General features: G+C 36.8%; 1 protein-coding gene across 5 annotated transcripts in view; it reads left to right on the forward strand.

Moving 5' to 3' along the window:
• Positions 1–17,950, forward strand: part of AGBL1 (AGBL carboxypeptidase 1) — a 951,857-nt gene that overhangs the window by 587,232 nt on the left and 346,675 nt on the right. For all 5 annotated transcript variants that reach the window (XM_011521227.4, NM_152336.4, XM_017021919.3 and 2 more), the window contains one exon: positions 7,422–7,585. In XM_011521227.4, coding sequence (XP_011519529.1) covers positions 7,422–7,585 — 164 coding nt within the window. The remainder of the gene's footprint in view (positions 1–7,421; positions 7,586–17,950) is intronic.

Consider the following 17,950-nt stretch of genomic DNA (forward strand, 5'->3'; position numbering starts at 1 on the left):
AGGACCCTGCAGTTAGAAGTGGAAGCACTAGGACTGTAACCCCAGCAATATGGGTCTTGGGGCCTGTGTTTACACACACCATGCCAGGCTATCTTCTCAGGTTTACAGAGAATCCTGGTGGGCTCATATGAGATGACTTGTATCAGACATAGATGCATCCATCTAGAAGTTCCTGATATTTTCTTCTGTTCTCTGCCCTTTATCTTGATATGTTAGGTATGTTAACATCTATACTAGCAGATTTCCTAATGATACCATCATCATGCCATTCTTAGAAAAATACTCTCTAAATCATTTATATTTTTATATATTTATATTTCTGAACATAAATTTTTTTAAAATTGAGATATCTATGTATGTATCTATGTATGTATGTATGTATGTATGTATGTATGTATGTATGTATCTATCTATCTATCTGTCTATCTTTGCTGTTGGCTTGCTGCCCTGTTTATATATTAGTAATGCAATAATCAGTTTTTGGTATTAGGATTATGTTAATATTATAAAATAAATTATGAAACTTTTTCTTGTTTATGATGTGGTTTGCATTCAATGTTTCCCCTTCTCTTGGTTTGTCTTCCTGACACTACTACCCAAAACATTTTGAGGTGCAATACTTTCTCTTCAAAATTATTTATATCTTGCTCCACTGTCTTAGGTATTAGTAGTATGAATAAATATTAGACTGTTTAATTTCAGTTATTTATAGGGATCTTGATCCTTTTTTCTTTATTTTCTTTAATTATATTTCAAATACTTGGAGATCCTGTTTGATATGTAAACTCAGATATTTTTTGGACCGTAGGTGAGTACTTTCTTCCTTCTCCTCATCCTCCTTTCCTTCCTTTTCCTTCTTCTTGGCTTCTGCTATGACTACCATACTATCTGAGTTTGAAATTCCAAATGGAAGCATATCACTTTTCCCTAATCTCTTCTAAAATTCCTATTTATATGTTTAGCTCATCATTTTAATCTAATCTGTTGTGTTAGTTTTGTATTGCTGTAAGGGAATACCTGAGAGTGAGTAATTTATAAAGAAAAGAGGTTTATTTGGCTTACAGTTCTGCAGGCTGTAAAAGCATGGCCACAGCATCTGCTCAGCTTCTGGTGAGGCCTCAGGGAGCTTTCCCTCATGGCAGAGGTGAAGCGGGAGCAGGCATGTCACATGGTGAGAACAGCAAGAGAGAGAGGAGCAGGTGCCAGGCACTTTAAACAACCAGCTCTTGCCTGAACTAACAATTCACTCGTTCCCATGGGGAGGGCACCAAGCCATCCATAAGGGATTCACCTCCATGAACCAAACACCTCCCACCAGACCCCACCTCCAACATTGGGGATCACATTTCAACATGAGATTTGGAGGGGATAAATATCCAATTCATATCATCCACCTTTGAGATATTGGAAAACTTCTTGAAGTTGTCTTCTCTGTAATATATTTTATTTTCTACATTGAACAGTCTAACTCACAATTTTGGCCTTTAATTTAGAAAATGAATTTTAATCTCAATAGTGATGTCACTTCTAATTTCTTATTGTTTCCTTTTTGTGCCTTTTAATGTAGTTTCACCAATGCAATATACTCATTTCTTTCAGAAAATATAAACAAGAAATTTCCCAGATTTTTCCTATTTCTGGCAGTAAATCTATTTCACAAAAAGACGTTTTTTTGGTATCTTCAGAGTGGCCCCCTTTTATCTGCAATATTTCTTCACAGATTTAATGTCTTTCCTCTGTGCATGTTTACAGAGGATGTTCAATGATGCTCTGTTTTATAAAAAGTGATTGCCAGAGGTTGTTGTAAGACTTTGGGGCAGATACTAAACCCTGTTCACTTATAACTTGGTTTTGTAACAAAGACAGAGGCCCATGCAAGGTTTGAGGATTGATTTGGGACCATCACACAAAGCCAGGACCTCCAGAGATGACAACTGTGGTCAATAAATTAGTAAGACCGCAATCTGCAAAGGGACAATGTGGGCATATTTGACTTTCTTGGCCATGTCTTTGGGTAGAGCAGTAAAAATGGGCAAAGTCTTCATTCATAATTTCTAAACACAGCCCTCCTTCAAGCAGATTTGGAATCACAATTCAAATGTACCTGTAGCTCAAAAGGCCTCAAGCCAAAAATTCTCTCTATAGTGGTTCCTGATTGGTAGTGTCCTCAAGTACTTAGGGGAGAAAAACAAAAGTTCCAACTGAAGAAAAGAGCGCTAACACCAATCTACAAAAACAGACTTTAATGTTAAAAAAAAAAGTTTAGCATTTTAAAAATTATAAAATAATTGAGCAAACAGGACTACACTACTGACACTCAACAGAAAAATCAAACTACTGTACGATGCCCAGAAACACTGCATATGCAGGAATAATCAGGTATGATAATATAAAATAACCATGGTTATATGTTTTTCAGAAATGGTTTTGAGATGAATGAGTTTACAAGTAGATTCAATCTAGTTGAAGAAAGAATTATTAATATGGAACAAAAATATGAAAAAAATCAGAATTTACTACAGTGAAACAAAGAAATAGAAAATAAGAAAGTAAGGTTAAGAGATGTGGAGGACAAAGGGAAAATAGAAAACATAACATACGTTGAATATTATCTTTGATTTCCTTGACAGAGGTAAGGGAGAGGCAATATTCAAAAAGATCATGGATGACATTTTTCTAGAATTATTGAAAAATACTAATTATCTTGTCAATAAATTCTAAATAAAAGAAATGAAAATAAATTTAAATCTACTTCAGAAAATCCAAGATAAGGAGAAGATCTTACAAACTGCTAACCTAAATTCCACCATTCATTTGTAGGCATATATAACTTTTAAAACATTTTTTCCAGGTAGCAATAATTTCTTAAAGTATTCTTTAAAATTTCTGAAATATGTGGATATTTTCTTGATGAGATTATAGAGCCCCGTCTCCTGGAAATGTTTACATTTTCCTGGCAAACTATGGCAATAAAGTCTGAAAGTGTGTGTGGAGGGGAGTGGGGTCTGAGGATCATCACCTCTGCTTTCATTGCCAAATCTTTGGCATAAATTGTGTGACTGCCTGCTTTGTACCTTGACTTTATTCAACTTTATTTAAATCATGCGCATTTTTCATATTCTAAATGGTTGTTATAATTATCATTTTAATAGCTTCCTTATATTACATCAAATTTATTCCATTACAATTTCCTCAGTCATTCCTCGCCTATTAGACACTTATGGTTTTATTTCCCTCAAATTTGGATTATTATATATAATACTGTCATAATATACATTTTTATGCCTATAGCTTCCCTTTTATTTTGGTTCAGTTTATTAGGAAGGGTTCCCTGAAGTGACGTTACCATGTCAAATGTTATGGAGCCACTGCCCTGAAGGTCTCGATTAATTTACACTTCCACCAGGTATTTTGATATGTGCCAGTTTCAGCATGAGGGTCAGCACTGAGTATTATAAGTTTAAAATAAAGGCCGGGTGCGGTGGCTCATTCCTGTAATCTCAGCACTTTGGGAGGCTGAGGCAGGCAGATCACCTGAGGTCAGGAGTTTGAGACCAGCCTGGCCAAGGTGGTGAAACCCTGTCTCTACTCAAAATACAAAAATTAGCTGGGTGTGGTGGCAGGTATCTGTAATCACAGCTACTCGGGAGGCTGAGGCAGGAGAATTGCTTGAACCCAGGAGGCAGAGGTTGCAGTGAGCTGAGATCGTGCCACTGCACTCCAGCCTGGGTGACAAGAGTGAAACTCTGACACACACACACACACACACACACACAAACACGCTGTGTGTGTGTGTGTGTATATATATATATAGCAAACTTATATAGTAAGAATAGTACATATATATTACATATATGTAATAGTCTATCAATTTGCAGAGTGTAGAAGGCATTTTTATTTAAATGAAATGGAACATTTTCCCACATTTCCTTATTTTTTTCTCTTTTGCTCACCAATTATCAGTACTTATGCTATTTAGACATCTTTTTTGGACCTGATGTTTGTCTTACAGATATCTAACAGATACTCTTCTTTTGTGGTGAGTTATCAAGAAAAGTTGTTTAAATCAGAGAGGGTTGTACTGGTTAGCTTTGCTTACTAATACTGTGCAGACATAGGGACCTATATTTTCTAGCAGCATTGGCATCAGAATACTAGTGTGATAGACACTGTTGGCTTGCCTGACACTCATTTCTAACCCTCTTCTCTCTTACCTGTCTCTTTTAAGGAGGGTGAACAGGCTGAAACATTGAGTGACCAGCGCATAGTAAAGCTGGAGGTGGTTTTATTATAAAGCCTGGCCAATAAAATATAAGCAAGAGTGTGCTGGTGCCGTTGTGCCACATTTTCTCTTTCTTTTTCCTCAGATGATGATGTGGTTGCTGGAGCCATAGCAACCACCTTGCAATCAGATTTAAACAAACAAACAAACAAACAGGAGAATGGCAGATAGTGTGGCCTTTATTTTATTACATTGCTGAAATAATGCCATGAACCTTCTACCTTTTCCTCAAATTTATTTTTGTGCAAAATAAAACCTCGTTTAAGTCACTATAATCAGACTTTGTGTTACTGTCTGTGGAAAAAATTTCTAATTAAGACATCTGAGCTGGGTGAGAAGGGAATTGGATCTTCATTTTATTTATACTCACTTTTAAACAAATCCGGAGCCAGTTTTATTCATAAACTTTCTACTGTGAACCCGTGATAACTGACCAAAGTGGAGGTCAAAATTTCTAAATTTTATTTACCTGTTTCCCAGTTTATATCCAGAGATATGAATAAGTCTCCTGGAGCCAAAATAAAATCTGTTTTATTTTTAATGCTCACAACATTTGACAATGGGAGAACAAGATTTAAAGGCACTCACATACCCAAACCCAGAGAAGTCAAGTTCTACTTGACAGTTACAATATGTATCTGAGAGATAAAAATCCATCCATGCCTCTCCACGTCCACTCATTTAGAGTCGCTATTTACCCATTTATCACATACTGAGGATATGACATTTGACAGGTATGTGCTCCATGCCAGAGATGTAAAGGAAGAAACATACTCCTCAGTCTTTGCCTTTGAAAAATTCTCTTCCACACCAGTGATGGGGTGTGAGAGGAGGTCATCTACATAAACAAATATATTTAGCCCAGGAGTTCAAGGCTGCAGTGGGCTGTGATAGCGCCACTGTACTCCAGCTTGGGTGACAGAGCAAGACCCTTTTTCTAAAACAAAACAAAAACAACTCTCAAATATGTTTTATACTGTGTGAGAGTAAAGAGAAAAAAACAGAGTAGTAAAGAGAGATTAATATCAAAGGGCAAAATGGAATATAAGGGCCTTGCCCAAGTCTCCACAGCCAATGAAGTGGTACAAGTTCCTTTAATCAAGGTCTTCTGGACTACTTGTTACAATGACAACTATGACCTGAAATATGTGGACCAACATCTGGGGCATCAAATTTTTTTTACATTATAAAATACTATCATTTTAGCTGTTATTGTATAGAAGTTGACTGGTATGAAGGAACTCTCCCTAACCTACCAGTATGGCATATACTGTGAGGTTTATTTTCCTGAATGACTCCTTCTTTTAACCTCTACAGAGCACCTGTTATGTGTCTGCTGGAGGCTGGGGTTGCAAATGTGTATGCGAGTGCTCCTGCCCCCGAGGGCCAGAGTCTTACTCTCATTCCCCTTCTCGCCTCCCCTTTGCCACCTGTGAGGTGGCTGACTGAGCAGGCAGGTGTGACCTTCACTTCCAATCAAGCCAGCCATTCTAGAATTGTATAAAAGTAACCTGGAAAAGGGGTTGGGGAAAGAATCAGACCTCGGAGCTTTAGAAAAGAGACTCAGATTTCTCTTTCTTTAGAAAGTGATCTTTTCTATTGACTTAAGAAAAAAACAACTTGTTCAACATCTGTCTTTCCCTTCTGACTGCTGTTGCTTAAGGAGGAACTGACTTCCCTTAACTCTGAAGTAATGTCTCCTTTCTTTAGGAAAACAGGTGTCAAAACATGCAGCAAATCAGATTTTCAAACAGCTGAAATAAACTTGAGGATTTTCTACCTTTTTAATGCTTTTAGCCAGGAATTCTTTTGTGAGGCTTATGATTTCCCAGTTTGGAATTTTGTTTCTCCTTGAGGTGCTTATGAGCAATCCTTCTGCATTCTTATTGTCCCATTCCTGTCCTCCATAATAAATCATTATTATTTGGATGTGAAAATCTATTCATAAAAAATGATTCATTATTATTTTTTATTTAGGTCAAATGTACTTTATAAACAGGAAGGCCTCAGGACCACACTGAATTCCGTTGTATTAAACGTCTTTATAGGAAGAGAGAAAGATAAATTGAGCTAATTTTGATCAATATTATGACTGTGAAATATTCCTTATCACCAGATGCTTAGGTATGAAGGGGAGAATTATGATTCCATTTTACAGATGAGAAAATCAAGGCAAAAAGAGTTCGCTGAGCCCAAGACCACACATTTAGAAACTAGTGAAACCAGATTCACACTTAATTCTGATCTAACTTCAAAAACCACGCACTTTCTAGCTCACCACAATGGAGTCTCTTCTAGTCGCTATACAGCTTTTTATGTTGAGTAGTCAAGACTGAATTTACTTATTAGCCTCTGGTACTTACTAGATGCTAGGCCTTGGATAAGTTACTTGTATTCATAAGTCTGCATCTCCTTATCTGTAGAATGGAGAAAAGAACAATCTCTACCTCACAGGGCTTTGGTAAGGATCCGCTGAGTTAATGCAAATCAAAGAGCTTAGAAGGGTATTTGGCATGCAGTAAGTGATCAATTAAGTTTGGTCAATTGTTATTATTATCTGTTTCTTCATGAATTATACTATAGAGTACATGTCATGATTTTGCTTTCATGCATATATGAGTACAGCTGAATAGGGGGTTCTAAATGAATACTGGTTTTTTAAAGTTTCAGTGTTCAGTATTTATATATGAAATATTTCCCCTACTTTTCTCCATTGGCCGATAAATTCAGAGGAAGGAAAAGTTATCTCTTAGTAAGATTCTTTATGAACTTCTGTTTCAGAAGTGAAAAAAAACCCTTTTTAAAAATACAGATAAAAGCGTTGCTGCTTTGACCATGGTGTGGGAAGGGTACAGATTCCTGGATCTCCATATATCCCCCTTTCCCTTTATAACCCCTACCAGCTCATTATTGTCATGGGGGTACTTCTGGGGAGCCCTGGATGTCGACATCACACAGACTGAGAACCACCACTCCACAATGCACACAACAGAATGTAATGGACAGTGACTGACAAATACAATTAATTCTCACTGTCTGAAAAATGCCTGTGTGTAGAAGTCCTTCTTCCTAATTTCAAAGTGTCACCACTCAGCTCCCATTATACGTTGCCACAGTTAATGCTTTGTTTAACTGGCAGGGTCTACAGTTTGGTACCAGAGAACTGGAGGAGATGGGAGCCATGTTCTGTTTGGGCCTCCTCATCCTGGAGCTCAAATCTGCCAGCTGCAGCCATCAGCTCCTGGCTCAAGCTGCAACTCTGCTGAGTGCTGAGGAGGACGCTCTGGACCAGCACCTCCAACGGTAAGATGCTCCCAAGGGCTCAGAGAAATTTGGACCTTGGTGGTTCCATTGCTCAATATCTCAGTAATGAAAGTCGAGTGGACCTAGGGGTCTTTACACAGAGAAAATATGGAAGAATTCCCAAGTAAAGGTAGGTACACTATCTCGTTTCCTACTGATGAAAAAGAGGATGCTGCCTGTTTGTACACATATATGCAAATATAAAACTATATGTATTTATACATATTTCTAGGTAACACATTTATGATAAGATGTGGCTTGGTGACACACACACAGGATATCTACATACACTTATATTTACCAGTTATGTGTTTATATGTATACAGATAACATTTTTGAGCCATTACTCAACAAAAAACAATGGCAATCTCATTGACAATATCTAGGCACCTGGAGACAAGAAATGTTTTACTCTTCCCATTCTCAAACATCATTGTTCCTTCTTGGAAGATGAAGGGAACCACCTGAAGATGATTAATACTTTGGCTCAGAGAACCGGACTCCCAGCCATAGGAGGGAAAGGCTAGATTTCTGAGAATCGTGGAGATTATTAATGAGCCAAGTGAGGGAGAACCATTATCCAAATGAGCCGTTTTGATGTTCTTTCCTGTTGAGAAATATTTTAGACTTGACCAAAACAAATTCAGTGGGCAAGAGGGGAAGAAATAATGGGCATGTGAGAGGAGAGAGGATGGAGGGGAGTCCAAGAAGCCAAAAGCGGCTAAGTCATTGCCCACACTTTGAGTGTCAGAATGGATGGAGAAATTGAGTTGTTGGGGAAGTGTCTCCTGGTAAATGAGGAGGCATCTGGTCGTGCACTTCACGTCCAAAGGCAGAGAGAAAGCCATTCATCCTGGGGCCATCTTATTTTGAGCTAATTTTCTTGAATTTTCCTCCTGTTCCTGTTAGGTGGCTGTTGCAGTGTGACATACTGAATGGCCAGTGAAACCTAGAAAGATCTAGCAGTATGCCTTAATACTGCTTTGGAAGGCCGTGGTTTTTCTGAGACTTGATTACCTAAATGCAGTAATTAACTTGCTCACCACACTGGGCTATAGATCATAGACTATAGAAACTTAAGTAAGTGCAGGGCTCTTTCCATAGAGCTGCCGTTGCTGATTTATTTTGACATCACAACCACTTCTGCCTGCCCCTGGTCCCTTCAACACCCCTCAGTGTCTGAAGGCTTCGTGTGTTTGGTATCTTTGTGGTGTTTTCAGACTCTCCCTCTGACAGCAAGCGCTTCCACCTGCCAGCATATATATTTCAACTTGTCTTTTCATCTTTTCCTTTACTAAGCTATCTTGGGTGTAGGCATGCCTGGATTTTCTTTCCTTCTTTCTCTTTTTCCCCCTCTCTCCTCTGCTGCTCATTGAGGGAAGATTGAGCAGAACTGGCATTGCTTGCTTTCGTCAAATTGATTGTGCCCGTCTGTTTGATCCAATTCAGTGAGGATTAGTTGCCTGCAAACTGGAACAAAAAGAAATCTATCAAAGAAATGCCTTTTCTAATTCAAGTTTAAAGAATTTGATGTCAGGCTTCAAATACAATGGCTGCTATATAGGTTATTATAAGGAGATAGTATTATTTGCCTCCACCCTTCCACACCATTTCACACAATTATTCATTTTTCAATTGCATCCTGACCAAGGGGATTGAAGCTAGAGGTCCTCCCATGACCTCTGACCTTTCCTAGGCTGGTGCAGCTCCCAGTCTAGGAAAGATACCTGAACACAGGATGTGATTAATATGTCTACTTTGAATATATTTGAATTAAGTTTGGCAGGCATGGAGTTTGGTGTAGATCAGCAGGAGGGAAACTACCTATTTCACCCAGACATTTGTATGGTAATATATTTTCCTATTCGTTATGATGCAGTTGACCACACGGATTGCGATTCTTGCCCAAAGGACCTGAAAACTGCATGGTTGAGAGGGAGATCACCGTGAGCATTTCTTGACCCCAAAAATGTTCCAGCCAATAAGCTTATGGTCACAAAAAGATGACAGAGAGAAAAATTTATAAAATCTACTGGTTTGAAACCATCAACAGGCTTTTTGAGAACCATTTGATTAGTTTCTGAAGAATAAAGTTAAATCCTGAGATATAATAATCAGCAGAGTGAATCCTAGAACTTTTGTTAGTATCAGGATTCTTATTGTAATACAAAGAGTGTAACCAATGTTTGTCAACACAAATCTATGTATGTTTTAAAGAGGAGACCTCTACCACCCTCCTCTCCTCCTGCCTCTTTCTTTGACATAACAGGGTTTCCAGCATCCTACAAGAAGATTTGTATTGTTGTTGCGTGGAAGGAATTGTGAATAACATTGTGGGTGAGGGGGCTCTTCTCCAAAGGTCTGCCCTAAAGAACTACAAGAATGGCTGGGTGCGGTGGCTCATGCCTGTAATCTCAGCACTTTGGGAGGCTGAGGCGGGTGGATCACGAGGTCAGGAGTTCAAGACCAGCCTGACCAACATGGTAAAACCCCGTCTTGAACCTGGGAGGCGGAGGTTGCAGTGAGCCAAGATCATGGCACTGCACTCCAGCCTGGGCGACAGAGGGAGACTCTGTCTCAAACAAACAACAACAAAAAAAATGCAAGGATGTGGTACTGCATCCTCTCCTAGGCCCACAGACAGCATTAACTCCTTGGGAGTGATCAGCCAGGAAGACAAAGTGTGGCTGCACACTGTGGACATCATGTTTTCTGACAATAGGTTTCATGCTTCATTTACCATAAAAACAATTAGAGTGTACTCAATATCCACAGAGCAACTCAACATTTTTCAAGAGCAGAGGAAGAGCAGAGATAGCGGATGTTTGCCTGGTGGCTGACGCTGAAAATGAAGTACATGCATGCTTTGTTTTTGGTTTCCTTTTGCAGTCCTCTTCTTCCCAGTTGCTCATTTCAGAAATGTCTGCATACTCACGAAAGCATCTTTTGATCTTTCCTCTCCTCTTCCTTTCTCCTTCCTCTCAATCTTATCCCTGGAAATAATTGTGTGTGCACTGCAGGAATGCTAAGCTGCTTCTTCAGGAGGAGCCGTTTATCCATTGTGACAGGTCTTTTGCAAAGTCACTTAAGTTTTGCCGAGTCAGCCACTGTTCGTCTCGATTTGTATCCCTCCACTGCCTCTTGCTCTTCTCAGCCGAGCCCCCCACCTCCATTTGTCCCTCACTTAATAACAAGAGAAAGCTAAAGCTCAGAGCTTCAGAGCTGTGCCTCAGCAATGGCTCAACACCTCCCGTGTTCTCCGAAATTATAGTCCTGTTGCTTTAGCCTGGGCTCACCTTAGTATCTACATAAACTAGGTTTGTTTGACGGACAACACTAAAAGAATAAAAATTCTACATAGATATTAGAAAAAAAAGTTTAATAATTAAAAAGGTGCTTGATTTTCATTTGTAAAAGTATAATTTTGTTCTTTTGAATGAGAAAATGAAATTAGGAAGACAGACAAAAGCGCCCCTATCCCTGTCTCAGCATCCAGATAACTACTGTCAGCATTATGGCGAAATATCCTAAATTATTTTTCTGTTTTTAACTTAATTTATTGTTTTAAATTGACAGATAAAATTGTATGTGTTTATTGTGTACCATATGATGCCTTGCAGCCCATATACATTGTGGAATGGCTAAGTCTAGTAATTAACCTATGTATCACCCCACAAAGTTATTTTTGTGGTGGGAACATTTAACATCCACTCTTCTATCATTTCTCAAGAATGTTATATATTGTCATTAACTATATTCACCATGCTGGCAATAAATTATTTGAACTTATTCCTAGGTTATATTTTTTACCTATGGATAAATAGACATACAGTACTCTCAAAAACAATGTGCTATAAGTTCTCCTTTTTTGCAGCTTTATAAACACTTGTTCCTATTTTAAAACTTTTGCCATTTTTAGGAGAAAATGGGGTGCTGTTTTAATTTAGAATTTGATGTTTTCTGATGCAGATAAAAATCCTTCTATATCATGAGGAGTATTTTTTATAAATTTCCTAATCACGTCTTTGTGCATTATTCTGTTAACCATCCCTTTTTTTAAAAAAGTTATATTTACATTTAATTTTAATTTCTGTGTTAAAGGTACTCAACTTCTGTTTGTCTTGTATGCTGCAAATATTTTCCCCAAATTGTCATTTACCTTTCACATTTTCTATATGGTTTATTGACATTGAATATTTTTGCTTTCAAGTAATTATGTTTATCAATTCTTTTCTTTGCTTCTCTTACCTTGGATAAACCTGTCTACCTCGGTTTAATAACAGATAAATTCACACCCACTGTTTATCTATCTGTTATTGAACTGAGGTAGGCAGGTAGTTTTATAGTGAGTATATTTACATATTATAATTTATTTTCCATTTTTACTATTGAATCATTTTGTATTTTTAAGTAATCCACCTTTTATCACGGATTAGTAATGCCGGTTTATTATATAGTATATACACATGCATATAACTGGGTATATTTTTTGGATTTGTATTCTGTTCCATTAGTCTGCCTGCCAAGAGCACGTAGCTTTTAATACTGTAGCTTTGTAATCTAAATGTATGATGTTGCAAACACCACCTCATTAGTATTTGTTTAAAAATGTGTTTTGCTGCATTCTCTTCTTTATTTTCACTGATGCACTCTATAATGAGTTGTTAGCTGCCAAAACCTAACCCACTGGGATTTTAACTCAGGTAATATTAAATTATAGATATTTTTGGTCTATTGAGTGCTCGTCTATGTTACTTTTATAAAATCTGATATTTTTATTTACTGATTCAGATCTGCTTTGATGTTCATCAGTAAAGTATTGTAGGGATTCTGTTCGTATCCTTTTTATGTAGTTCCTGAATATATCATCATAAACTTTTAATCTCAATATTTAAAAAAGTTTTGTTCATCTAAAAAATGTGTATTTTTCACTACATTGCTTCTAAGTGCTTGTTTTAGTTATATAGGAAATTTCTGGGTTATTTATATATTTATTTGTAACTTCAGTGAACTCTCTAGTTATACCTAAAAGTATTTCCAGGGATTTTTCTGTTTTTCTGGATAGAAAACAGTATCATTTATAATTTTTGACCATCAGCTTTGCTTACTTCTTTTTCTTATCTTATGATCTGGGCTAGAGTTTTGAGACTAATGTTTAAGGCTGAGGCATTTATGAGCATCCTCACCATAAACCTAACTTCAAAATGAGAATGACTCTAAGCATTTAAGAATTAAGTGAAATGGCTCTTGGTTTGATATTAATATTTGATATCTTCTCCATTATTACTATATTTTCTTAGCTTATTAATTTAACAAAGTCCAGATTAGATGATTAATTTTATCAAAAGATTCTTTAGTATCTAGAAAAATAACTATTTACTTGAATTAATAAAATCTTATAGATTTTCTAATATTCAGCTATCTTTACATTTCTAAGGAAAATGTATCTGGCTGTGATCTGAAATATTATTTTAATGTAGAGATTGATATTACCTACTGTGAATTGAGGAGTTTTGTGCCTATATTTGTGAGTGAGTGAAGTCTGTGCTTGGTTTCTATTGTTCTATGACCTGGAACACTTTAAATTTCCTAGGTAGGATACATCTGCACCTTGAACATGTACATACTGCCTGTAAAATCATCTGTGTTCTATTTATTTGAAACAAAAATATTATTTTTCCAATGTTAATTTTCCCAAATAAGAATTATCTATGGCATTTAAATTGTCTTATAATCATATTCAGATCATTTTAAAATTCAACTTTGTGTTTAATGACTTGCATTGCTCATCTCTACCCATTGTATGCAATCATGTCCTCATTCTTTTTTCTCAATGTTGATTCATCTTACATTTTTCAGAGAGCACCTTAAAAGTAGCTTTTCTTTTTTAAAATGTAAATCAATGGAGTTTTTTGCATATTAATACATATGTGAATATCCTTCTCTTCCCTTTACCTAGGAATTCTACTTTCCCTGCCTAGAGATTTTATGGGTAACACATTAAAACAATGTAGACGTGGCCAAATTTACTCTGGTATGTAATCTTATGGTAGCCAGCCTAATTTTTCTTTCTTTGTATGCACCCTGTTTTTTCTTTTTCTTTTCTTTTTTCTTTCTTTCTTTCTTTTCTTTTTTTTTTTTTTTTTTTTGAGATGGGGGTCTCTCTGTCACCTAGGCTGGAGTGCAGTGGGGCAATCTTGGCTCACTACAACCTCTGCCTCCTGGGTACAAGGGATTATCCTGCCTTAGTCTCTTGAGTAGCTGGGATTACAGGTGCCCACCATCATGCGTGGCTAATTTTTATATTTTTAGTAGAGACAGGTTTTCACCATGTTGGCCAGGTTGGTTTTGAACTCCTGACCTCAAGTGATCCACCCACCTCAGCCTCCCAAAGTGCTGGGATTACAGGCGTGAGCCACTGCACCTGGCCGCACCCTGTCTTTTCTACCTTCATAGTTGTAGTAGTTTCTCTGTGTTCCCTAAAACAAAAATTATTTCTCTACTACATCAAAAATATTTCTTTCTTTCCTCACTTCTTTCTTTTCTCTTGTGTGTGTGGTTTAGTTCCTTTAATTGATTTTGAATATGAACATTCTATTCTCTTGAAACATGTCTCAATTATAAAGGATCAGTGATGCCACCCCACGTCTTCATTTATCTTCCTCTGAAGTGTTTGTTATCTGTTTTCTCACCTCTGTATCTGTTATCTCTTCTTCTTTAATCCTTTTTACCTCCTTGCCCCAATTCATCAAATTCTGGAAGTATGTCTCAAGTTTGCCCTCACACATTCAATTTTCTGCAGCATGGACTCTCTGCTCTTTGCTGATAACATATTTTAATTTTGGTGACTTTACATTTAGGTTTCATTGCACCTATTCCTCATCTTTCATGAGTTTCCTTTTATTCATGTTTGTACTATTGCCAGCTCACTTTCCATTTGGATCAGTTATCTTTTCATTTATCGTCCCATAGATTCCTTTTTGAAAAACAACTTTCCAGATACCTTTATACAGCCTCCTGTGTCCTGTGGCTAGTCATTCCCCTGAAGTGCACCACTGCCAAGCTTCTGGAAAGGCATTGGCCTCCTTGTACTTTTGCAGGATGTTTCACCACCTCTAGGTTGTGCTTCTTACCTGTTTCTGCTCTTCCAACTTCTTTTCCTCATTTTCTTTTGGTCTATTCATTTTGAATCATGAGAGCTCTATCATGACTTACAATTAGTCAATAATCAAGAGTTTATATGTTCTTTAAGCCCTTTTATGGTCTAGCTGGATGTAGAGAGGTCCTCTTGTTTTAATAGAAAGTAACGTGATTTAGGTGGTGCTTTCTCTTCAAGAATTCATGGTATTTTGGCTTTTACCTGAGAGTACAAAGTTGGGTGATTGTGTTGGAGAGGTTAAGGAGAGCAGGCATGGAGAAGTGAATGAAGATGGAAAGTGCCCTACTAATGTCTATGGGCCAAAATGGGAAATTTGGGATTGGAGACAATGGTTTCCATAAAGATCCCATTACAGTAAAGCGAAGGATGGAGTCTTAGTAGAATCTTCAGTTTCAAGTTAACTTTCTGTTTCCATCAATTCCAAATTAATGCTACGTGACTATTCTGGTAATAGCTCTCTTTAATTATCTGCTGTTGTCTTAATTCTATTCAGATTTTAAAAATTAGCGCATAGTATGAAATATCTGAGACTATTCTTAGCTTCTTTCTATAGTTGCAGGCAAATAAATGCTACATGTTGGGAAATGTTGGAATGGAACTCCGCCTGGGAATTATTATAGATTATGAGTACCATATCCTGCTTTAAAACATTAAATGGCTCCCTAACTGGTCAAGGGAAATGAACTGATTGGCCAGAAGAAGTGCTAATTTTAGGCTGGGAAAACAATAGCAAAAAACAAACAAACAAAAACCTTGTTTCATTAGCTGTTAAAAGCAAAATCAAATATTTTTGGTATGATTTTATGCTGATTCTTCTATAATAGATAAATTAAAATAGTGAAAACCCAGTGTTCACATTTCTGTGAAGAAAGAGGTTTAATAATATCATGAAGCTATTGGTAAATTGATTTACTTTTCTCTGGAGAGCAATTTGGCAGTTTGTAAAAAGGCCCATAAAAATCTCTCATTTGATCCTCTGTTTACAGCTTACAGAATATTACTCAAGACAATAAACATAACAGAAAAGAATATTTATTATGCACATATTTATATAAATAGTACTTATTTCTCCACAAAATTTTAAACAACTCAAATTCTTAGCAGTAAAAAAAGAACATTATTGATTAATTTTCTGAATTACTATACTACCATGAAAATAATAAGTATGTCAATTTATATATAAGATAATAATAAAGCAAACATTTATTAGGGCCTTACCATGAACTAGATGCTGTGCTAAGCATTTTATAAATATTATCTCTCTTAATCCTATAAATAATCCCATGTAGTAGATGCTTCCATTAACATTCCCTTTTTACCAACAAGGAAATTAAGTTTTATAGAGGCTAATAAGTTTGCCAAATGTCATGACTATATTTAAGGGACTGCACTGGCATTTGAATCTACTTTTGCCTAACTCCATGGCTCAAGTTCTTATCCTTTGTTATATTTAGCCTTTTGAATAATAGATGAAAAGCAAAGCAGAGTAATTAATGGTGTACACATGCTGATTACGAGTTCAGCAACACAAAAAACTGACAGATGGGGGGGCATTAAATGTATAATCTAAATTTAATTTAGTTTTATTAATTTCTCTTTATAGTTCCTTAACGTATGTATTGGGTACATGTATATCTGTGTGTGTTTCTGGGTAAGTTTTAAAACTCAAACGACTTGGGTTCATTTTGGACCATAAATATCCCTTGATTGTTTTAATACTATTCAGGGAAGATTAATGTATACCATTATAGGTTGAATGTGTTGTAACCCATGGTGAATTGAAAAGAGAAAAAGATTGCACATGCCAAGGAGTGAAAGTACATTTTCTTCATACTGCATTTGCTGCTTCCAAAATGTTACCACCTAATAACAACCATGAAAGTTAACCTAAAATAATGCCTATTTTACAAGTGACTCCATGGGAGTCCAGGGAATCTAAGTGACTTGCTAGGTGTAGTTAAGTGATTTACACATTGCCAGTCAACATGGGGGATCTCATTCACCTCTGCCTCAGGCTCAACCAAATGAACGGCAGGTCTCTTGCCTATGAAACTATAAATACCTGAAAATAGAATAGGCTACCAGCCCCTGGAAAAGGATTTCAATCAAGAAACTCACTCTTACTACTCTCTATAGCAACTGCAGCCCTTCCCAGCCCTTGTCTTTTGTTGTCAATTCTAAAAATGGAAGGCAAATAAAACTTTTGAAGTTTTCCCAAACAGGAGCAGTTGTTGTCATTTAAGAAGGCTTCAAATAGCCTGGCATGGGTGGTCTAAGTTAACTCAATAACTTTTCATTAATTTTACATCATTACCGCTTTCTCTTCTTTCTATCTAATTCTTATTTCTTTTTATTAAGTACCCTGTGACACCTATGGCTCTTACCGAAGAGCTAGTCCTTTAGGTCAAAGCCATTTTACTGGTGAGAGCAAATCTACCAGATGTGCTAGAGGAAAACAAAAGTGTAAATACAATAGTGAAGGCAAAGGAGAGAAGGGATGGAGGGAAGGAAAGAGGGAGGGAGGCTAATGAACAGGAGAAGAAATCAAGGCATTTGAACTAACAGATCGTTATGGGGATAAAAAGCATCTTAGAATGTTTACATTTTTTGGTTTGAAAGATCATGAGCTTAGATTACTGATTTAGAAGAAAGATGGTGCCTTTTAAAGTTTCTGTGAACATTTCCACATTTTTACCTGATTTCTTTATCTTTGCCAATTGCCAAGTTGCCCCCTCTCAGGAAGGAAGGAAGTAAAGAACCCTGGCTACATTCTACTGTACCCAAGATGAAATAGTCTATCATGGCTTTTGCTGTCCTGTAAATTTCCATGAAGTCCTCACTTTAGTTAGTACCTAGCATAGTTCTCTCTTTTTTTTTTTCTTTTTTCTCTTCTATTTCTTTTTGTTTTTGAGACAGGATCTCACTATGTTGCCCAGGCTGGTCTCAAACTCCTGGGCTCAAGCAGTCCTCTTGCCTTGGCCTCCCAAAGTGCTGGGATTACAGATGTGAGCCACCACACCTGACCCGTAGCATAGTTTAGATCACAGACATAAGGCTTAAATTCAAGGAAGTTCAATTCTGATTCAAAGTATTTCTGGGATGACAAGCTCTGTGAATCTATGGCGTTGTCTTAACTTGTTTACTCTCAGATTTTTTGGCTTTAACATTAGGGAATCTCCTTTCGGATCTAATATCCTGCATTTACT

This window comes from Homo sapiens, chromosome 15, assembly GCF_000001405.40.
Source record: "Homo sapiens chromosome 15, GRCh38.p14 Primary Assembly".
In the NCBI taxonomy this organism is placed as follows: Eukaryota; Metazoa; Chordata; class Mammalia; order Primates; family Hominidae; genus Homo; species Homo sapiens.